The 23,964-nt window shown below is 40.2% G+C and overlaps 2 pseudogenes; both read right to left on the bottom strand.

Moving 5' to 3' along the window:
- Positions 1-5,488: 5,488 nt before the first annotated feature.
- On the bottom strand, positions 5,489-23,070 carry LOC124903223 (ankyrin repeat domain-containing protein 36B-like; annotated as a pseudogene).
- On the bottom strand, positions 9,142-9,375 carry VN1R111P (vomeronasal 1 receptor 111 pseudogene; annotated as a pseudogene).
- Positions 23,071-23,964: the final 894 nt, after the last annotated feature.

The following is a 23,964-nucleotide window of genomic DNA, read 5'->3' on the forward strand; positions in this document are numbered from 1 at the left end:
GAATTCCTCCTTGCACATTTCTGCTTTATCTCATCTACACAGAAGTGATCCAATATTTAGCTATAGAGCTATATTAGTTAAGAAGGTATTTTTAAAGTAAAATTTGTAGGTTTTTAGCTTAGTCTCCATTTAAAATATGTTCTGTTTTCTTAACTTCAGGATATGTGTGTAGTTTGTGGCAGTTTTGGCCAAGGAGCAGAAGGAGGATTACTTGCCTGTTCTCAGTGTGGTCAGTGTTACCATCCATAGTTTGTCAGTATTAAGGTAAACATCCTTAAATTGAGTTAACAAATATGTATTGAATTTTTATTTGGTTTTAGTAGTAACATGAGCTCCTAGTTCTCACAATTAAGTATTATGATTATTAAACATATGTGACAGTATTTAAGCACTTTAAATACTGCTTTTAAGGGTTTCCTATCTCAAGAAATTTGCTCCTCTATAAATCTTATATTGTACTAATATCCCGCTTTTGTCTTGAAAAAGTAAAACATAAAAATATATGCATTTAATTTAAAAGACAATTTATACTATTCACAAAGATTTTAGGTTTAGGTGATTCATTTTGTCTGTTGATTTAAAAAGCTGAGAACTGGAGTATTTAGTAAAAAATTATTGGCCCATTCTGTTCTTTCCCGCATTCTCTCTCCTCTGTGCTCACTCGTATACAAAATGACATTTTCTCCTTATAGCCAAAAGAAACAAAACAAGTGTCATATTTAATGCAATTGGTGATAATCGAGAGTCAGCACTGCTCACTTTCAAGCATTTCAGGATAGAGGCTTTCTGGGGAACCTTTTAAGTGGTATCGTGTGCTTGGTTTTAAATATGGACAGGTCTCAATACTTCACTAGTTGTATCTAAGGTTCTTGGTTTTTTCTTTTTAAGAACTCAGTCTTAATAAAACTTACATATTTGAATAAAGTGTCATGGCCACTGAAAGCAAGCATGGAGGTATAGCTGTACAGCAGAGGTCTTAAACTGTATACTCCATGGACCTGACTGTGGCCTGGGGGTTGGGGACCCCTGCTATAGAGGATTCAGATTTAAATTCAGAAGTTAGAATGAAAAAGAATTATATTCTTTATCTAAATGATTTCACAGTTAACTGAGAGAAAGTCAGTATAAGTTGAAAAGTTTATAAGTGTTAATAAGAATGAAAAATATGTACAATATGCAATTACTATTAAATATAATTTGCCCATAGTTGCACACTGATTTCATTATCATGGCAGTTAAGTATCAGAGCTTCTGGTTTCTCACTCTTCATTCATGTATTCAGCAACCATGTGCTAAGGTACTAGGACAAGCACTGGATTAACAAGAAAAAGATGATACGGTCCACCCCTCAACAACTGTATGCTATAATCCGAAAAAACAAGCAGGCAATTCCCATACAGAGTCATACATACAATGACAGGCATAAGACACCACTTACTGGAAGACATAGAAGGGATACTAGCCCAGGTTTGTGTTAATATTGTAGGCTTTTTGGTAGAGGCAATTCATAGGTTGATATCTGAAGGGGAAGGAAAACACATGTAGGATAGAGGGAAGAAGTAAATGCGAAGAGCTGGAGGTGAGGACGATCACTGTGGAGCTCTGTGTAGTCTAGTTTGGCTGGATGCTAGAACAAAGGTGCAGAGTATGGTAAGTGGAGAAAGATAAGGCTGAATAACCTGACAAGAACCACACTGATGTGAGAGTTTTGATTCCATGCTAAGGAATTTTCAACTTTTCCCAGGTGCAAAAGGAAACCAATGACAAAGTCAATGACTAGAGATTTAAAATGTCACTGGTCAGGTGACTGCTTGTGACCTGTAATTGCTTAACTAATTATTATCACATGAGTGTGGGGTCTGTTAGCCTTAAATCACTACCTTAACCTTGAGAAGTTGATGATGCCTTTGTTTTCTGAGAACAGTTTCAGTGTGCAGGCTGACAGTTCTATAGGGGTGGCAGAAGAAAAGTGTAGGGCCAGAAAAAAAGAGATACACAGACTTCTTGTGATTTTTTTAAAGCTATGGAACATGATGAAGTAACAAAGCATAAGTATACCCTTCACTATGAATGATTATGTTTTCACATCTTTCACTAGATGTGTGTAAGAAAAAATATTTAATGTAGCATGTATTAACCAAGCAATTGAGAGGAATACCGTTCACTACTTACAGTTTATTTCAGAAATCAGTGATTTGAATTTAATTCATAAATTTTGGCAACATACCTTCATCTAGCTCTTGAACACCTGGCAGCATCTGAAATAAATCAAATATTACTTATAATGTTTCAGTCAAACAAGAGACATTATCATGTAAACCCACTGCAAGTCAAGGAGCATCTGTACTGTAGATTGATCATCCCTAATCTAAAAATCTGAAATCCAAAATGCTCTACAACCTGAAACTTTTTGAGCACGGACATGACACCACAACTGCAACACAACGTTCCACACCTGACCTCATGTGACAGGCTCTGGGGAAAACAGTAAAAACTTTGTTACCTGCAAAAAATTACTGTAAAACATTGTAGAGAATTAGCTTCAGGCTATGTGCATAAGGTATATATGAAACATAAATGAATTTCATGTTTAGACTCAGGTACCATCCCCAAGATATTTCATTAGGTATATACAAATATTCCAAAATCTGAAAAAAATCTACTTTTGGTCCCAAGCATTTTGGACAAGGGACATTTAACCCGTCCTACTGGAAAAATAAAATTCCTTTTCAGTATGACAGAAATTAAGAGATCAGCTTACCAAACTTGAACGCTGCAGGATTTTCTCAAGCCGCTCAATTTGGTCATCCTGTTTTTTAATCGTTTTTCTCATCATGGCATTTTCTACTTCAAGCCTAAAATGTGCATTTTAAAATAATTACTCTCACATATAATTGTTTTTAAAACATGTAAATTCTAAACAAACTTCTGAAGGTATAATTACACAAATTCTTAGCAATCGCAAAAGTAGATGACTGGGCTACTGTGTCATTTTTCTACCTGTGTTTTGTTGATAATATGCAAAATTTAGGAATAATGAAGAAAAATGATGTATGTCAATATAGCTTACAGATGAAACTTTTTTGGCTTCACAAAGACATACTTATTATCATAACTGATACAATTTTCATACTACAGTGCTCTCTTGCTTTATAAATACTCAAGTTATTTTGTGTGCTGCTTCAAATTTTACTTTTGTGCGTCACCTTCCATCTCCTTAGTACATCTTATAGTAGCTGTAAGTTGATCCTGTATTTCTTGAAACTAAAACAAAGAATTAAAAAAAATTACATTTGGAAATGACCTAAATGTCCATCAGTAGATGAATGAATCAACAAAATATATATAAAATATTTTAGACTATCACAATCTTTTTTATTTAAAAAAGGTCAGAATCTAGGATAAATCATCCCATTACCTGTTTTTTGTAATTAATTTTAGTGGGACACTGCCACATCCCTTCAATCTGCATATTGTTCGTGGCTACTTTTGTGCTATAACTGCAGGGCTTGAGTTATTGCAACAATGATATTATGGCTCACAAAGTCTTAAGTAATACTATCTGGCCCTTTACAGAAAAGTTCACAGACCCCTGCTCTAGAACTAAAACACAACATTCTTCTTGCTTTTGAATTACATTTTATCAGTTAAATACTCAAACTTGCAAACTGGTAAAATGTGGAAAGATAAAGGATTACCTCATGCTAAGCATTTATATTTTGAATTCCAAACACTACCACATCAACTATAATTTTATTTTTTGTATGTATGCATTTAGTTTTATTATAGCAAAGCAACTTGCACATTTTTAAATATTTAAAACTAAGCGTCATCTTTCCTTTCTAGAGAAACAACAAGAAAATTTAAAAACAAGCAGGAACAAAATTAAAATCGACAAAGTCAGTTCCAAATAAGATCCTACAGGATCTTATTGACTCTCCCATTGAATAGCAGGACTCAAGTCATCATTAGGAGAGAAGTAATTTAAAAGCGTCATCTTAAACTGCAAAGATGTCCATTAAACATGTCAAAGGAGAAACCTTGTTGTCTAAATGCCCACTTAACCAACCCGAACATCTCAAACTCATCCTTTGCTGACCTTCTATAACCCCTTTTTTAGTTTAGCTTTTTCTATAAATAAGAGAAAATAGATACATGTTGGCAAATGCTAACTGTCCATATTCATATAGAGACAAAATGTGCTCTCTGAGCCCAATAGAGAGTAAGGATTTTCATCAAAATAAAAATTTATTCAGTAAAATGGCCTTTCTGAACAAGTTAACCTGAAATCTATGAAATAAGTACACACAGGTTCTTTATACATTCAGAAAAGTAGAAACTAAAAATAAGATAATTTTCTGAAACATTCCATTAGACATTGTCCTCTGAATTAATCTGGCTTGCCTCACCATGCCAACAGAGAAATCATTAAAAATAGACTGTTTAACAGGAAAAAAAACTCTCTCAACTTCTGTGAGAAATGATGCATAATTCTCAACTTTCCTAAGGTTAAATATTTAAGAAAAAATATGCATAAAAAAATGGCAGAATAAAAGAGATTAAGATATAGGTGCGTTATAATAAAATTTTAATAAAATTAATAATAAGGAAAATACAAAAGAAAGCCATCCACTATAAAATTTTAATAAAATTAATTATAATAAAAATACAAAAGAAAGCCATCCACTAAAATTAGTACCCCAAAACACTTTATATTAGTTAGCTAGCTACAGATGAACAGTTGTTGGCATGCAAAGTTTCATACATACTTGACTTCTCATCTGGTCTAATTTCTTCCTTGAATCCTGCATCTCATTTTCTAAATAGATGCAGTGACGCGATGAAGCATCCAGCAAAGCTTTTGTTGCTGATTGTTTGTTTAAGACATCATCTCGTTTTCATTGAAGCTGTCTCACAGCTACCTGATGTTATTTTTGTTACTGATTTTACAAATCACCTTATTATTAAACCATTAATAATATTTAACTCTAAAGCATATACTTTAAAAAATATCACCACACAGATCGATTCACCTTCTTTTCCTCATGTGTACACATTCCTGTGTATTACTGAATCCAGTTAAGGATACAGAAGGTGTTATCTTCCTGCCAAACTGGTATTGTTATTCACACAACATATTCAGCCCACTAGTCATTCCTCCCCTGATGAATCTGCAATGCTTAAAAACCTGAAGTCTCAAAAATAAATGAGTATGTGGGTGAGACCGATGGTAGTAAATTATACATTGTGGAATGATTTCCCTCTTTCTTTTTATTAGAAACTCAAATCAACCTCAGAGTTCCTCACGTTAAATCATCTGCTTAAATCCTTCCAATAGATGTCTATCTCAGAAGAAAAGTAAAATTACAGTGGCCTTAGATGCTCTAAGTAACCTGCCCTCCACCTCCCACCCTGACTCAGCTGCTATATCTCTCCTCCCTACTCACTCCATTCCTACTCTATGTGAGTCCTGCCACTCGTTAGTCTGAAATCCTCCTTAGTCTGAAAATGGGGATCCAGTGTCAAACTAATAAATCACAGATAGCTATGCCTCTTTTTGTCCTGGACAAAGTTATATCCAAATGATAGTAATTGAGCCTTGAAATAAAAATTAGGAGCAAATTTTTTATTTAAAAATGAAAGTAAATTATAAATGCCAGTGGGAAGATTAAATCAAATATGATTTGGCTAAAATTTACTGCATTTTCCCCATATTATAAGTAAAATTAAATGCCTTTGAAAATAGAATGATCATATCTATACATAACTTGAGATTGAAATAGTTTCAGATTTAAGTCAAACTGACATGAAGAAAAACAAAATTTTACCAACTAAGACATATTTAAAGCTACTGAAGAAAAGTAATTATGAAATAGGGAATACACTTCAGCTCATCTAGGAAATCTGAAATTAACTGTCAAAGTACCCCACTTTATTGAATCAACTTCAAAATACCATTTTAGGTATGAGCATTTCCATATATCTGATTTATCATGGTCTTAAAATGTTGCAACATAAATACATTAAAATTATTATTTCAGTAGTATGACTATATTATTACTATTAGTCTATATTAACATTTTATAACTTAAAATTTTATAAGTGACACATTGACTTTAATCAGAGGAAAACATCTCTCAGATCTAACTTTGACTTGTTGGAAACAAGGAATGTTTCTAAGCAGATATATTTATCATATGTATCCTTTTTTATATTCAACTAGATCCAATATTCAGCTGTAACCAAATATTACTTTAAATTTTGCTTCAGGAAGTTTGAAAAATACTTATTTTTCTTGATACTTACTTCTCTTTCTGCTTTCTCTTTTTCATATTGGGGTTCTTTTTCTTTCAAATGATTCAATCCATTGACCATCCTTTTACTGTCTTCTTCTAGTAAAAGACGGTGCTTTCTGCACTCAGCTTGAAGGCTTTCTACTCTAGCATCACATCTGGCTTGAATATTAAGTATTGCTTTTTCTTGATTGTCAGCTTTGTTGCGAGCATCATCCAGTTGCTGTTGAAGCAACATATTTTGTTTAGTTGACAAAATCTTTCCTGCTTTTCTATGCATTTTTCCATTGTACTGTATCCACTTTTGTACATTTTTTCAGTGTCCTTCATTCAACTCTGTTTTTGCTTTAGCTCACTTTGCACGTGTTCAAAAACCAAAGCCTTTTCTTTCAGAGCCTCTCTTGTGTAATGGAGCTCAGTTTCGAGGACTCTGGACTTACTCTCAGCTTTGGAAAGTTGCAGAGAAAGAATCAGAATACAAAAATTCAAATTTTCCTGTAAATGACACCATTTATCTACTGTGCCCTGGAAAGCAAGCTCTTGATCTTTTTCTGATGAGTGACTTTGATCATGATCACATAGAGCAGCATTCAGTCTACAACCACATGATTGCATTTCTGTTTCCAGTCTTTGCCTACTCTCTCTTTGCTTCTCCAGTTTGGAATGCAGCGTTGTGTTTTCATCTGTCAGAGCAGCAAGCTGTCCACTGTAACAGGCTATCGTTTTTGCTAATGTTTCCCCATTCCGTTTTAGAGCCTTTTGAAGGTCTTCACGCTTTCTTTTCACAATTTCAAATTCTTTTAAGTATTTATTTTCCAGGTTTTGGTTTCTTATTGTGTCTTTTTCCAGCCTGAGCCAGGCAATTTCATCTTGCATCAAGCAGTTTTCATGCAGCAGGTCTTCTTTTTCATCAGTTTCAGAAATCTAAATAAAACAAAGAAAACTTGTAACTAGTATCCAATAGGATAACATATTGTGATTGTTTCTGAAATTAAATAATAACCCGTACATTTATACAATGAGAGGTTGCCATAACTGTATATCTAAATGGGAAAAAAGTTGAGTCAAAACCTCAAACCTCATATGGCATAAATTCCCCAAAGTTCAAAAGTTTATTTGAAGACAGTGAATCCATGAAAGCAAAAAAGAAACCACTAGATAATTTTTTTAAATTTCAGGATGAAAAAAGGCTTTTACTGAATTACAACAAATTGCAAGGCATAAAGAATTAATAACTATGACCACATTAAAAAATTGGGTTTACACTCTAACATCTAAACTATACCTCTCCCTGTAGTGAGAGCCTTAGCTTGGCAGACATTTGGACAGATGAATGACATTTTCCAAATTCTTTAAGCTCCCTTTTTCTAAAATATTGTCTAGATATTCTACTTTTCTAATATTTTTATGGTCAGTTTTAAGAATGATATTTATTGATAAATGATAAGTCTAGGCATTGTACTAAGCACTTTTACACACACAAATCAATGAACTCATTTAGTTATAATTCTATAGCAAAAGGTTAAAAATATAAGGAAGCTGCAGGATTTTTCCCAGCTTTTCTGACTCTACTCCTAGTGCTCTTCCACCAAATCAATAACTTCTGTGAGGTAGATACATACATACAAAAATAATCTTCTATTTCAAGACACCAAAAGTCAAGAAAATTAAATTTATAAAGCTCTTTTTAGAAAATCTTGAGATTATTTACTATTGGGATAACTTTTATTTCTTTTCCATAACATTTGAAACGTAATTAACATGAAATAGGGGAAAATATGCTGAACTATGTCACTAGGAACAAAATACTTACAATATCATTAAGTATATATTATAGAATAACATTGTTTTCATAAGGCCTTTGAACTAAAATAAAATATTTCAAGATTTATTATAAATAATTGTAGCTATAAATGCGATGATTTATTTTTTATTTTTTATTTTTATTTTTTTTTTTGAGACAGAGTCTCACTCTGTCGCCCAGGATCAGGGGACAGCATAATTTTGCTTTAATTCTACAGCACGTTTTCACCAAGGGTGGAAGGAGAATGAGTTGAAGTATAGATTTTACAGACGTCACATCGTATTGCTAAAAACAGACGGAAAAGTTATTGTAATAACCAGTAAAATTGTGGAACGAGAACCAATGAGATCACTGATGTAGCAATTATTTTCCTCAAGCAAGAGGGATTTTGAGGCAGGAAGGAGGGAAAAGAAGAAGTTATTTATGTAATTTTGGGGTTTCTGCTGAGGAAACCTGAGTCAACTCACTTCAGATGCATTTAGCATGTTTACACAAAAAGGATTTGATTTTGGCAGCTCCAGGAACTACTGGATGAAGCAAAGAAAGCTAGAATTGGGATAAACCACATTGACTAATTACTTCTCTTTGTTACTATTAGGCATAAGACATATCTTTTGTTGATTTTTGTTATAAAAACTAGATAAACTTGAATATCAATACATTGGCTTCATTCATCCAAGTGCTATCTCATGGATGAAATAGCTATTTAATGAATATGCAAATAGAAGAAAGCTTTAGGCCGGGCGCGGTGGCTCACGCCTGTAATCCCAGCACTTTGGGAGGCCGAGGCAGGTGGATCACGAGGTCAGGAGATCGAGACCATCCTGGCTAACACGGTGAAACCCCGTCTCTACTGAAAAATACAAAAAAAAATTAGCCAGGCGTGGTGGCCTGTAGTCCCAGCCACTTGGGAGGCTGAGGCAGGAGAATGGCGTGAACCTGGGAGGTGGAGCTTGCAGTGAGCTGAGATCGCACCACTGCACTCCAGCCTGGGCAACAGAGTGAGACTCCGTCTCCAAAAAAAAAAAAAGAAGGAAAGAAAGCTTTACATCTAAAGTTATTCTGAAAATTCAGTGGCTCAAACATGTCTGGAGACAAAAACTCCATTGCAGTGAAGAGCATTACTAGGTGGACAAAGGTCAAATGACAGGTGACCAGATCATGGGTCTTAGGCCTGTGATCCTGAAAGAATGTAAAAATGTGGAAGAGAAGATGGAAGATGTTGGCTGAGATTCTAATGCTAGCTTGACGACTAAAGGCATTTTTAAAAGATAACATAAGTGAAAACTGTGTTCATCCTAATGGCATAGAAGAAACATATTTTGTAGATCTGAAAAAAAATGACTTCATATCATCAATGTTCTTTCTTCAGTGTTTGAAATTATTACCATCATTATTATTTTTATTTTACTCACTTATTCTTGATTAACCTTGACGCTAAATTATTGATAATGTACCCCCTGCACTCTTTTCTAAGCCAAATAATTTTATATATATATAATTATTACTTTCTATATATAATGAATACATTTACAATCATGCCTGTATAGGGTGCACACTATCTATATTCCTAATGCCCTTTGCCCTCCATCTTTAGAAATCAATTTTTGTTATTTTTTGTTCTCTCATTTTATTTTTAGCACCCAATTCAGTGACAGGCATATAAAATGAATCACATTTGCACAGTTGAATTGAATAAAATATATGCTAAAGTGGAAAGACTCACTAAAGCAAACAATTAAAAATATATCCAATTGAGTCTTTCTCATGATCTATCACTTTGATATGGTTTATTCTTCACTCTTCCATGGTTTTTGATGCTTATGATTCTACTGGGCCCACCATGATAATTCATAATAGTCTTCTTATTTTTCATCAGCATATCGGCAATTTTGATCCCATTTGCAACCTTATATTCTCTTTGCCATAAATTGTAATGTATTTCCAGTATCTAAGAACTTGGATGTAAATATCTTTTTTAGGGAGTGGGGAACATTATTCTGTTTATCCAAACCCAAATTAACTGTATGTCTTAGAAATGGTCCTGGTGCTTTCCCAGTTTAGTTCACATCCCAGAGACTTATCATGTGAACTCTCTTCATCTCAGAGCAAAATTTTTAATATTTGCCTCTCAGTTATCAACAAGATAAACACTACTTTTAATCATTTTATTTCAACCAAGAGGTTGCATTAAAATAGTCACACCTGGTTCTTTTTCCTGAGACTTTACTTGATACAGGAATGTCAGTCTCCAATGAGAAATATAATGCCTCTCAAGTTTTCTTGGGATATCCTCAATACCATAATACCTTGTAAAATTTTGCAGAACAATTTTGCAGTTGCCATTTCATGTTATTTGGCAAGGATTCAGGTATCATTGTATCATTTTGCTTTAATCCATGGGTAAAAACAATTTAGCTTCATGCATGAAATATAAAAAACAGTAAATTAGCACAGATTTGGGGGGGGATGAAGGTGTGTCTGGTTATATATTCAAAGTCATTTATCATTACACTGTCCCCTAAATAAAAATATGAAAGGCAATGCAAACATCTTGACACTTAGTATTCTTGTCTAATAAACACAAGTGACTGAGGTAAAAAATATTGCTCTAAAACCACCAGGTATGTTTGATTTTATAAAGGAAATATGATCTAGGTTATTACATGGTTATTACTCTCTCTACAAAACTTTAGTAAGTGAATCCATTTATCATAAATGTCAGAATCAAACAATGAAAAGTTCCCACCAACATGTGTCTGCACCATCAGCATGGTTGAGTTCTGCTGTCAAGTTGAAATCAGAAAAAAAAAAAAAAAAAAAACATGGGGAGGCACCAAGATGGCCAAATAGGAACAGCTCTGGTCTACAGCTTCCAGCACTATCAACACAGAAGACAGATGATTTCTGCATTTCCAACTGAAGTACCTGGAACTGGTTGGACAGTGGATGTAGCCCACGGAGAGGGTGAGCTGAAGCAGGGTGGGGCATCACCTCATCCAGGAAGTACAAGGGGTTGGGGGATTTCCCTTTCCTAGCCAGGGGAAGCCATGACAGATGGTACCTGGAAAATTGGGACACTTCCACCCTAATACTGTGCTTTTCCAACAGTCTTGGCAAATGGCACACCAGGAGATTATATCCCGCACCTGGCTCGGAGGATCACACGCCCATGGAGCCTTGCTCACTGCTAGCTCAGTGGTCTGAGATCGAACTGGGAGGCAGCAGACAGGCTGGGGGAGGGGCATCCGCCATTGCTGAGGCTTGACTAGGTAAACAAAGCCACTGGGAAGCTTGAACTGGGTGGAGCCCACCACAACTCAACGAGGACTACCTGCCTCTGTAGACTCCACCTCTAGGGGCAGGGCATAGCTGAACAAAAGGCAGCAGAAACCTTCTACAGCAGAAGTTTCTACAGCCTTAAACTTCCCTGTCTGACAGCTCTGAAGAGAGCAGTGGTTCCCACAGAATGGAGTTTAAGCTCTGAGAATGGACAGACTGCCTCCTCAAGTGTGTCCCTGACCCCCAAGTAGCCTAACTGAGAGACACCTCCCAGTAGGGGTCAACTGACACCTCATACAGCCAGGTGCCCCTCTGAGACAGAGCTTCCAGAGGAAGGATCAGGCAGCAACATTTGCTGTTCTGCAATATTTGCTGTTCTGAAGCCTCTGCCAGTGATACCCAGGCAAACAGCGTCTGGAGTGGACCTCCAGCAAACTCCAACGGACCTGCAGCTGAGGAATCTGTTAGAAGGAAAACTAACAAACAAAAGCAATAGCATCAACATCAACAAAAAGGACATCCACACCAAAACCCCATCTGTAGGTCACCATCATCAAAGACCAAAGGGAGATAAAATGACAAAGATGGAGAGAAACTAGAGCAGAGAAGCTGAAAAGTCTAAAAACCACTGCACCTCTTCTCCTCCAAAGTGTCACAGCTCCTCCACAGCAATGGAACAAAGCTGGATGGAGAATGACTTTGATGAGTTGACAGAAGTAGGCTTCAGAAGGTTGGTAATAAAAAACTTCTCCAAGCTAAAGGAGGATGTTCGAACCCATCGCAAGGAAGCTAAAAACCTTGAAAAAAGATTAGATGAATGGCTAACTGTAATAAACGGCATAGAGAAGACCTTAAATGACCAAATGGAGGTGAAAACAATGGCACAAGAACTACGTGATGCATGCACAAGCTTCAGTAGCCGATTTGATCAAGTGGAAGAAAGGGGATCAGTGATTGAAGGTCAAATGAATGAAATGAAGTGAGAAGAGAAGTTTAGAGGAAAAAGAGTAAAAAGAAATGGACAAAGCCTCCAAGAAATATGGGGCTATGTGAAAAGACCAAATCTACTTATGATTGGTGTACCTGAAATTGACAGGGAGAACGGAACTAAGTTGGAAAACACTCTTCAGGATATTATCCAGGAAAACTTCCACAACTTAGCAAGGCAGGCCAACATTCAAATTCGGGAAATACAGAGAACACCACAAAGATACTCTATGAGAAGAGCAACCCTGAGACACAGAATTGTCAGATTCACCAAGGTTGAAATGAAGGAAAAAAGGTTAAGGGCAGCCAGAGGGAAAGGTCGGGTTACCCACAAAGGGAAGCCCATCCGACTAACAGCAGATCTCTGAGCACAAACTCTACAAGCCAGAAGAGAGTGGGGGCCAATATTCAACATTCTTAATGAAAAGAATTTTCAACACAGAACTTCATATCCAGCCAAACTAAGCTTCATAAGTGAAGGAGAAAGAAAATCCTTTATAGACAAGCAAATGCTGAGAGATTTTGTCACCACCAGGCCTGCCCTACAAGAGCTCCTGAAGGAAGCAGTAAACATGGAAAGAACAACCAGTACCAGCCACTGCAAAAACATGCCAAATTGTAAAGACCATCGATGCTAGGAAGAAACTGAATCAACTAATGGGCAAAATAACCAGCTAACATCATAATGACAGGATCAAGTTCACATATAACAATATTAACCTTAAATGTAAATGGGCTAAATGTTCCAATTAAAAGACACAGACTGGCAAATTGGATAAAGAGTCAAGACCCATCAGTGTGCTGTATTCAGGAGACCCATCTGACATGCAGAGACACATATAGGTTCAAAATAAAGGGATGGAGGAAGATCTACCAAGCAAATGGAAAACAAAAAAAAGCAGGGGTTGCAATCCTAGTCTCAGGAGAAACAGACTTTAAGCCAACAAAGATCAAAAGAGACATAGAAGGCCATTACATAATGGTAAAGGGATCAATTCAACAAGAAGAGCTAACTATCCTAAATATATATGCACCCAATACAGGAGCACACAGATTCACAAAGCCAATCCTTAGAGATGTGCAAAGAGACTTAGACTCCCACACAATAATAATGGGTGACTTTAACACCCCATTGTCAACATTAGACAGATCAACGAGACAGAAAGTTAACAAGGATATCCATGATTTGAACTCAGCTCTGCACCAAGTGGACCTAAGAGACATCTATAGAACTCTGTACCCCAAATCAACAGAATATACATTCTTCTCAGCACCCCATCTCACTTATACTTAAATTGACCACATAGTTGGAAGTAAAGCACTACTCACAAATGTAAAAGAACAGAAATCACAACAAACTGTCTCTCAGACAACAGTGCAATCAAATTAGAACTCAGGATTAAGAAACTCACTCAAAACTGCCCAACTACATGGAAACTGAACAACATGCTCCTGAATGACTACTGGGTACATAATGAAATGAAGGCAGAAATAAAGATGTTCTTTGAAACCAAAGAGAACAAAGACACAACATACCAGAATCTCTGGGACACATATAGAGCAGTGTGTAGAGGGAAATTTATAGCACTAAATGCCCACAAGAGAGATCAGGAAAGATCTAAAATCGATACCCTAACATCACAATTAAAAGAACTAGAGAAGCAAGAGCAAACACATTCAAAAGCTAGCAGAAGGCAAGAAATAACTAAGATCAGAGCAGAACTGAAGGAAATAGAGGCAAAAAAAGCCTTCAAAAAATCAATGAATCCAGGAGCTGGTTTTTTGCAAAGATCGACAAAATAGATAGACCACTAGCAACACTAATAAAGAAGGAAAGAGAGAAGAATCAAATAAACACAATAAAAAATGATAAAGGGGATATCACCACCGATCCCACAGAGATACAAACTACCATCAGAGAATACTATAAACACCTCTATGCAATAAACTAGAAAATTTAGAAGAAATGGATAAATTCCTCGACACATACACCCTCACAAGACTAAACAAGGAAGAACTTGAATCCTTGAATAGACCAATAACAGGCTCTGAAATTGAGGCAATAATTAATAGCCTACCAACCAAAAAATGTCCAGGACCAGATGGATTCACAGCCAAATTTTACTAGAGGTACAAAGAGGAGCTGGTACCATTCCTTCTGAAACTATTCCAATCAATAGAAAAAGAGGGAATCCTCCCTAACTCATTTTATGAGGCCAGCATCATCCTGATACCAAAGCCTGACAGAGACACAACAAAAAAAGAGAATTTTAGACCAATATCCCTGATGAACATCGATGCAAAAATCCTCAATAAAATACTGGCAAACCAAATCCAGCATCACATCAAAAAGCTTATCCACCAAGATCAAGTTGGCTTCATCCCTGGGATGCAAGGCTGGTTCAGCGTAAGCAAATCAACACACATAATCCAGCATATATACAGAACCAATGAAAAAACCACATGATTATCTCAATAGATGCAGAAAAGGCCTTTGACAAAATTCAACAACGTTTCATGCTAAAAACTCTCAATAAATTAGTTATTGATGGGACGTATCTCAAAATAATAAGAGCTGTCTATGACAAACCCACAGCCAATATCATACTGAATGGACAAAAACTGGAAGCATTCCCTTTGAAAACTGGCACAAGACAGGGATGCCCTCTCTCACCACTCTTATTCAACATAGTGTTGCAAGTTCTGGCCAGGGCAATCAGGCAGGAGAAAGAAATAAAGGGCACTCAATTAGGAAAAGAGGAAGTCAAATTGTCCCTGTTTGCAGATGACATGATTATATATCTAGAAAACCCCATTGTCTCAGCCCAAAATCTCCTTAAACTGATAAGCAACTTCAGCAAAGTCTCAGGATACAAAATCAATGTGCAAAAATCACAAGCATTCTTATACACCAATAACAGACAAACAGTGAGGCAAATCATGAGTGAACTCCCATTCACAATTGCTTCAAAGAGAATAAATACCTAGGAATCCAACTTACAAGGGATGTGAAGGACCTCTTCAAGGAGAACTATGAACTACTGCTCAATGAAATAAAAGAGGATACAAACAAATGGAAGAACATTCCATGCTCATGGGTAGGAAGAATCAATATCGTGAAAATGGCCATACTGCCCAAGGTAATTTATAGATTCAATGCCATCCCCATCAAGCTACCAATGACTTTCTTCACAGAATTGGAAAAAACTACTTTAAAGTTCATATGGAACCAAAGAAGAGCCTGCATTGCCAAGTCAATCTTAAGCCAAAAGAACAAAGCTGGAAGCATCACGCTACCTGACTTCAAACTATACTACAAGGCTACAGTAACCAAAACAGCATGGTACTGGTACCAAAACAGAGATATAATCCAATGGAACAGAACAGAGCCCTCAGAATTAATGCCGCATATCTACAACCATCTGATCTTTGACAAACCTGACAAAAGCAACGGGGAAAGGATTCCCTATTTAATAAATGGTGCAGAGAAAACTGGCTAGCCATATGTAGAAAGCTGAAACTGGATCCCTTCCTTACACCTTATACAAAAATTAGTTCAAGATGGATTAAAGACTTACATATTAGACCTAAAACCATAAAAACCCTAGAAGAAAACCTAGGCAATACCATTCAGGACATAGGCATGGGCAAGGACTTCATGTCTAAAACACCAAAAGCAATGGCAACAAAAGCCAAAATTGACAAATGGGATCTAATTAAACTAAAGAACTTCTGCACAGCAAAAGAAACCACCATCAGAGTGAACAAGCAACCTACAGAATGGGAGAAAATTTTTGCAACCTACTCATCTGACAAAAGGCTAATATCCAGAATCTACAATGAACTCCAACAAATTTACAAGAAAAAACAAACAACCCCATCAACAAGTGGGCGAAGGACATGAACAGACACTTCTCAAAAGAAGACATTTATGCAGCCAAAAAACACATGAAAAAATGCTCATCATCACCGGCCATCAGAGAAATGCAAATCAAAACCACAATGAGATACCATCTCACACCACTTAGAATGGCGATCATTAAAAAGTCAGGAAAGAACAGGTGCTGGAGAGGATGTGGAGAAATAGGAACACTTTTACACTGTTGGTGGGACTGTAAACTAGTTCAACCATGGTGGAAGTCAGTGTGGCCATTCCTCAGGGATCTAGAACTAGAAATACCATTTGACCCAGCCATCCCATTACTGGATATATACCCAAAGGATTATAAATCATGCTGCTATAAAGACACATGCACACGTATGTTAATTGTGGCAGTATTCACAATAGCAAAGACTTGGAACCAACCCAAATGTCCAACAATGATAGACTGGATGAAGGAAATGTGGCACATATACACCATGGAATACTATGCAGCCATAAAAAAGGATGAGTTCATGTCCTTTATAGGGACATGGATGAAGCTGGAAACCATCATTCTCAGCAAACTATCGTAAGGACAAAAAACCAAACACCACATGTTCTCACTCATAGGTGGGAATTGAACAATGAGAACACATGGACACAGGAAGGGGAACATCACACACCAGGGACTGTTGTGGGGTGGGGGGAGTGGGGAGGGATAGCATTAGGAGATATACCTAATGCTAAATCACAAGTTAATGGGTGCAGCACACCAACATGCCACATGTATACATATGTAACAAGCCTGCACGTTGTGCACATGTACCCTAAAACTTAAAGTATAATAATAATAATAATAATAATAATAATGATAATAATACATTTTTAAAAAGAGAATTTCTTTGTTAGTTTTCATCACAATGATTGTTCTGTCTAAAGCTGTCAGTGGGATGTTCAAATCCCCCACTATTTTTTTTTTAATTATACTTTAAATTTTAGGGTACATGTGCACAACGTGCAGGTTAGTTACATATGTATACACGTGCCATGTTGGTGTGCTGCACCCAGTAACTCGCCCCCACTATTATTGTGTGGCTGTCTAAGTCTTTTTGCAGGTTTAGAAGTATTTGTTTTATGAATCAGAGTGCCCTCATGTTGGATGCCTATATTTTCAGGATTTTTATGTCTTCTTGTTGAACTAAATGCTTCATCATTATGTAATGCCTTTTTTTTTTTTACTGTTGTTGGTTTAAAGTCTGTTTTATATGACATAGCAATAGCAACCTCTGGTCTCTTTGTTTTTCATTTGTATGAGAGATCTTTCTCCAACCCTTTCCTTTCATCCCATGGATGGCATTACATATTAGATAGGTCTCTTGAAGACAGTATATGGTTGAGTCTTCCAACTTACCACTCTGTCCCTCTTAAGTAGGGTGTTTGGACCATTTACATTCAAGGTTAATATCGATATGTGAGATTTGTATCTTGTCATTGTTTTGTTAGCTGGTTGTTTCGTAGATTCAACTGTGTAGTTGCTTTACATGGTCTTTGGGCTATGTATTTAAGTGTGTTTTATGTTAGCAGGTTTTATTTTTCATTTCCCTAAAGAACCTCTTGTAAGGCTAGTGTAATGGTAACAAATTCTCTTAGCATTTGCTTGCCAGGAAAGGATTTTATTTCTTCTTTGCTTAAGAAGCTTAGTTTGGCAGGATATGAAATTATTGGTTGGAATTTATTTTCTTTAAGGATGCTGAAAATAGGCTCCTAAGATTTTAAGGATTGTAAGGTTTCTGCTGATAGGTCTACTGTTAGCCTAATAGAGTTCCCTTCGAAAGTGACCTGACCCTTTCCTCTAACTCCTGTTAAGGCTTTTATTTTCATGTTGACCTTGGAGAATCTGATAACTGTGTCTTGGTGATTGTTGTCCTGTATAGTACTTCACAAAAGTACTCTAAATTTCTTGAATTGGCATGTTGGCCACTCTAATGTGATTGAGGATATTTTTGTGTGGATTATATTCCCAACAACTTTTCCAATTTTTTTTTTTTTAGATGGAGTCTCGCTCTGTCCCCCAGGCTGGAGTTCAATGGCACAACCTTGGCTCACTGCAACCTCCACCTCCCAGGTTCAAGCAATTATGCTGCCTCAGCCTCCCAAGTAGTTGGGACTACAGGCATGCACCACCACACCTGGCTAATTACATATTTTTAGTAGAGACTGGGTTTCTACATGTTGGTCAGGCTGGTCTCAAACTCCCAACCTCAGGTGATCAGCCTGCCTCAGCCTCCCAAAGTGCTGGGGTTAGAGGCATGAGCCACCACGCCCAGCCTGTTTTAACTCTTTGATTATCTGAATCTTCCAATTCCCCCCAACCACCAGTGAATTATTTCTGCTAATTTTTTTTTCTGTTTTTGAAAAGAGAATGATGGAAACCAACCCTGTTCCAGTGGGAGAGTACAGGGATTCCCTGGAAAGACTCTGGCTTGGAGCCCTCAGACCAGAGTTTAGGTCCAGGGGTCCACTTGGTGACTCAGGAGAAACCCTGGACCCCACCTCAAGGAATCTTGGATCCCCCAGTGGGGGTCTCAGAAGCAGGAGGTTGCTGGGCCACGGCAGGGACAAGGCTTTCTCCAGCACCCCCATGCAAGGTTCCTCCATAGGAAGAAATCATGTTGCCCGTTCCGCAGCAGGCATGCCATCCCAGGCCCCTGAGAACCCCAGGGGACATCCCTGCTCTGCCAACCGTGTGAATACACTCCACCTCCCAGCCTCTGCCATGTCACAGATGACTTGAGGCTTCAGATGAGTGACTCCCCAGAGTCACATGGGCCTATGCTTGGGTCCCAGCCTCTTCTATGACCCTTGAGGTGGCTCTCAGCGTAGGAGGCTGATTTCTAGGCCTCTCTGTGCTGTTCTGTGAATGGGACAGGTAACAGACCTCTATGGCAGGCAATAAATGCCAAGTGCCCACCACAAGGCCTGGCAACAAACTCTCAGCAAATTCAGGTCATTCTCTGGGAGTGGCCACAGATGATTCTCAGAACCCCAACCTCTGGCACTGCTCCAGCCTATGCTGGACCCTTCATCATCCAGGTGTCCCAGGCCCACAAGTATCTGACACCTCAGGTGGCACTTGTGGCCCACTGTGTGACCCTAAGCATACCTCCATGTTCTCTGGGCTGAGTCTCTGAGCCGCCACAGCTCTGCAGAGCCCAGGCTGTGGGCTCCAGCCCCTGACCTCCAGCTTGACTTACTAAATGTAATCTCCAGGGCTAATTTTAGTCCTGGGCAGGAATTGGACACATTCCCATGGCTAGGATGAGTCCCTGGAGGCTGGAGGTGACACCATCCCACAGGACCCAGTGCCAAGATAATCCCCCAAATGACCCCTATGCATGTGGTCTCATGAGAGCCGGGACTGGGGCTGAGCTTGGGCCTGAGTCTCTTGGGCATAGAAGGCTCAACTAAGCCCCTTCTCAATCTGTCTCAATTTTAGTTATAGGGACACTATGGCTAGTGCAGAGGTCACGTGACAGGGGAACCCCGAGAGGCAGGAAGTTGGGGGCCTTTCTGGACTGATGTCCTAGAGCTGAGACAGGAAGTGAATTCCATGCAGAAGAAACAGCAGGTACAAAGATCCCAAGGGGGAGAGAAACAGCAGTGAGGTTGGAGTGGGTGGGGAGGGCAAGAGGCCACAGAGGCTGGGCCACACTGGGCCTTCTGAGCTGCAGGAGGCTCTGGGTTTTAGTCTAAGAGCAAAGACGAGCTATGAGAGGGTTTTGAGGAGAGAAGGGATGGGGCTGATTTATCATTTTAACACGCAGCTCATGGCTACCATGGAAAGCAGGACTATCAGGGCTGGGGTGGAGATGGCAGGAGGCTGGAGATGAGGTCAGGGCTGTGTCCATCTGAGCAGAGCCTGGGGCGGTACCCTCTCTGTGCTGGTCTGTACCTCACACTGTAAGTCACTGGATCCCACGGCTTATTTGGCCCTCCAGAACATCAGGAGGTCCCCCACCAACTCTGGTGCGAGGTGACAGGTGCAGATGAGTTGATGCGGGGCTTAACTCTCCTGACCCCCCATGACACTGGAACTCTCCTGATCCCATCACCAAAGAACCAAGCTGTCCCCCACTCTGCCCCTGAGAGATCAAGCTCTAATCATGGCCTCCCTTGCTCACACATTCTCCATGGTTCCACATTGACCTTGTGAGAAAATTTCTGCATCCAGCCTGACATTCAAACACCTTGCCCTAATCAACTCCTGCCTGCTTCTCTCTATCTTTGACAAATATTTCTGTCTAGAAGGTCCTTTTTTCCCTTCTTCACCTAGCCAAATCCTATTCACACTTCAGAACTCAGCTCAGGTCAGATAAGGTGGTTCATGCCTGTAATTCCAGCACTCTGAGAGGCCAAGACAGGAGGATTACTTGAACCCAGGAGTTTGAGACCAGCCTGAACAACATGATGTAACCCCATCTCTACAAAAAATACAAAAATTAGCTGTGTGTGGTGGCATGTGCCTGTAGTCCCACCCTGAAGTAGGAGGATCAATTGAGCATGGAAGGTCAAGGCTGCAGTGAGCAGTGATTGTGCCACTGCATTTCAGACTGAGCTACAGAGAAAAAAAAAAACTCAGCTCAAGAACAAGCATTCCTCCAAGAAGCCCTCCCTGTTGTTCCTCTGGAATCCCACAGTCCCCATCCTTCCCCTGTAGTTCTGACCCCATGGGGCTGGCAGTAGATACATCCAACTTTGTCTCCCCTAGACTAGACAGCCCTCTAGATCAGGCCTAGGAGTGGACAGTAAAATTTAGAGAGTGCAACAGGTGAAGAGAGACGTGACTGACTCCCTCCTCTTTAGCTTCCCTTGACAGCTTCCTCTCAGACTGCCCCAGCTGATATCCTGCCCAGAAACACACATGCTTGCAAATCCAGCCACTAACCATTGACCTGTCTTGGACTCAAGTGTGAAGAGCCAGCCAAGGAATGCAGACCTGGAAGCCTAGGGTGTATGTGTGTGTATTTGTAGTCAAGTGAAAATCCCACCCAAGCTCCAGACAGACCCTGGCGGCCCATTCTGCAGATGTTGGTGAGGTTGGTATTTCTGTGGAGGTGTCAGCAAAGGTTGAATGCGCCAGGCATGAGGCAAAGGCCAAGGTTTAGGGGGACTTCTACACACACACCTGCCCCCTTGCCTTGTCCAGCCAGAAAGCAGAGAGCAGTGGCATCTGCCCAGCACAGAGGCAGATGGGTGGATCCACTCACCCGAGGATAGAGCAGGGAAGACGGGACAGGAGAAATCCAAGAGGGCTTCTCAGGGGAGGAGGCGTGTAGTTTGGCTTAGATACAGAGGCTAGACAGGGGCCTGAGCAGATGAGTAGGGGACTGGGCATTTGAAGCCAAGAGTCTTGCACCTCCCTACCCCTTTCTTTGCACCCTCATACTCGAGCATTTATTAGCTACTTGTGCTAACCACTGAGCTAAGCTGACCTCCAAGTAATTAGAAAGCTTAAGTAAACCAACATCTGTAGATGAGAAAGGTGACTGAGGACCTACTGTTACAAAGGCAAGGTAATTTGAGGCTGTAATGAGCTATGAGCAACTGTGTTCCAGCCTGGGAGACAGAATGTAAAAAAATAGTAATAACAGAAAGTATACATCAATCTCAATTTTTTTTAAAAAGGCAGATGGTTTTACAGTTGTTTTATCAAAACTCAAAGAACAGGAAAGCCCACATTATTTCAGCAAAGTCAGACCTTTTAAACAGATGATAGCTGCCCAAGTCATTTTTATGAAACTTCTTTATATCAAAACCTAAGTCTAAAAAGAAAAGTGTTGACCTTGATACGGGCTGTGTTAGGCAGAGATTTCAATGAAGTCCTCTCTGAAGAGGTGACATTTGATCTGAGACCTGAAGCACCAGAAAGAGGCAGCCAAGCCAGGAAGAGGCAGGAATGGGAAGGTCTAGGGAAAGACTGGTCCTGGCAGGCGGAACTGCAGTGGCAAAGGCCCAGCGGTGATCAGGAGCTTGGCATTTGCAAAAATAGTGTGTGTGACTGGACAGCGTGAGCAAGTGGGCAGAGGAGGAGATCGTGATAGGGTGTGCACTGGTCAGGCCACCTAGGTCCTGGAGCCCACAGTGAGAAGCATGGGCTTGACTCTGAGGGCAAAGGAGAGCCACGGAGAGTTTGGGTAAGGGGGAAAATTGGCATTTAATTTTATAGCTTTTTGAAGTTTGTTTTGTTTTCTTAGAAACAAGGTCTCAGTCTGTTACCCAAACTGGAGTGCAGCTCAAAATATTTTCCAATTTATCTTGTGATTTTTTTTGATCCAATGATTTAGAGGTGGGTTGTTAAATTTTCACATATTTTCAGATGTCCAATATTTCTTACTGTTGTTAGTTTCTAATTCTGTTTCAGTCAGATAACTTATTTGTTTTCCCTGTCTCTCCTGTCTTCTGATCCTGTTTTTCCATTGACTACCATTTTTAAAATCAACTTATTTCAGTGTGTCATTTACAATCCTATTTTAATTTTTTGCTCTTTCTCTGAAGTGGTTGTTCCAGGGATTATAATGTGCTTTTCCATTTTTCCAACGAATGAAGAACAAAGTGATCGACTTCTTGCCTCTGCCGGGGCTCTGAAGCGCTGCCCCGAGGCGGTGGATGGAGGGTGTCAGGCGTGACATCAAGAGCTCTGCAGCCAGGGCCTGGGACAACCTCCCGCTCCACCTCCCCGGAGCCTCGCAGCCAGCATCCCCAGCGGCCCGTGCGCCCCGGCCAGGCGGGACCTCAGCGCTGTGGCGGCCGCAGACCTCACCTGGGCAGGCCCCGGGCTGCATGCGGACCGCCGGGCGCCCAGGACCCTAGAGGCAACCAGCGGGCTGGATCCGCACAGCGGCCATGGGGAATGGATGGTGTACAGGGGACAAAGCTACACACGTCTTTCATTTTGGAGGGGGGAAAAAAGAAAAAACGGAAATGAAAGATAGAAAATGTGTGGGCTCTCCGTCCTTTCCTTTGCTCCTGAGCGCTCTCTGGGGTGGGGGGCTCAGCGAGCTTCAAGAGGTGGCCGAGATTCCCCCACCTCGCCCCCAGATCCCCGGGAGAGGTCAGCACGGCCCCTCCCGTGGGTGTCACAGAGACCGATGCGGGTCCCGCTCCCCGGGAAGGAGTGGGTCTGGGTCCAGTCCACAGGATCCCCTCGCGGATGCTGACGCAGAATGGAGTTGAGGTGGGGGCAGCGCTGGACCCCAGGGTCCCTCCCTGCCTCCTGGGGAGCCCGGTGACCCAGGCAGCCCTGGTGAGGCCGCAGGAGTCTGGGCCCTAGCGACGCCCCCGGGCTCCCACAGGACGAATGTAGACGGTGAGGCCAAGGACGCCCTGCTGCCCTCGGGACTGTCCCTCCAGCCCCCAGCTTTCCGTGGCTATTGGGCCCCCTCTGCAGAGGGGCAGGGGAGCCCACCCTGGATCCTGAGGCGCCGAGCTTGAGGGACCCCAGAGCTCCAGCCAGGCCGCTTTCTTTGAGGATGGTGAAGCTGAGGTCCCGAGGAGGGCAGGGGCAGGTCCCGGGCGCTCCTCAGGCAAAGGGAGCCGATTTAGGGGCTGGGGTCACAGGAGGGGCTTCTGCGACCTCTAGGGCCCTAGAGCCCGGGAGGATGACAGACTGGGGGCCTTTCTTCCACCCCTGGGGCTGGGCAGACGCTCAGCCTGTGCAACCCGAAGCTGCTTCTGCC

This window comes from Homo sapiens, chromosome 13 (assembly GCF_000001405.40).
Source record: "Homo sapiens chromosome 13, GRCh38.p14 Primary Assembly".
Taxonomy (NCBI): Eukaryota; Metazoa; Chordata; class Mammalia; order Primates; family Hominidae; genus Homo; species Homo sapiens.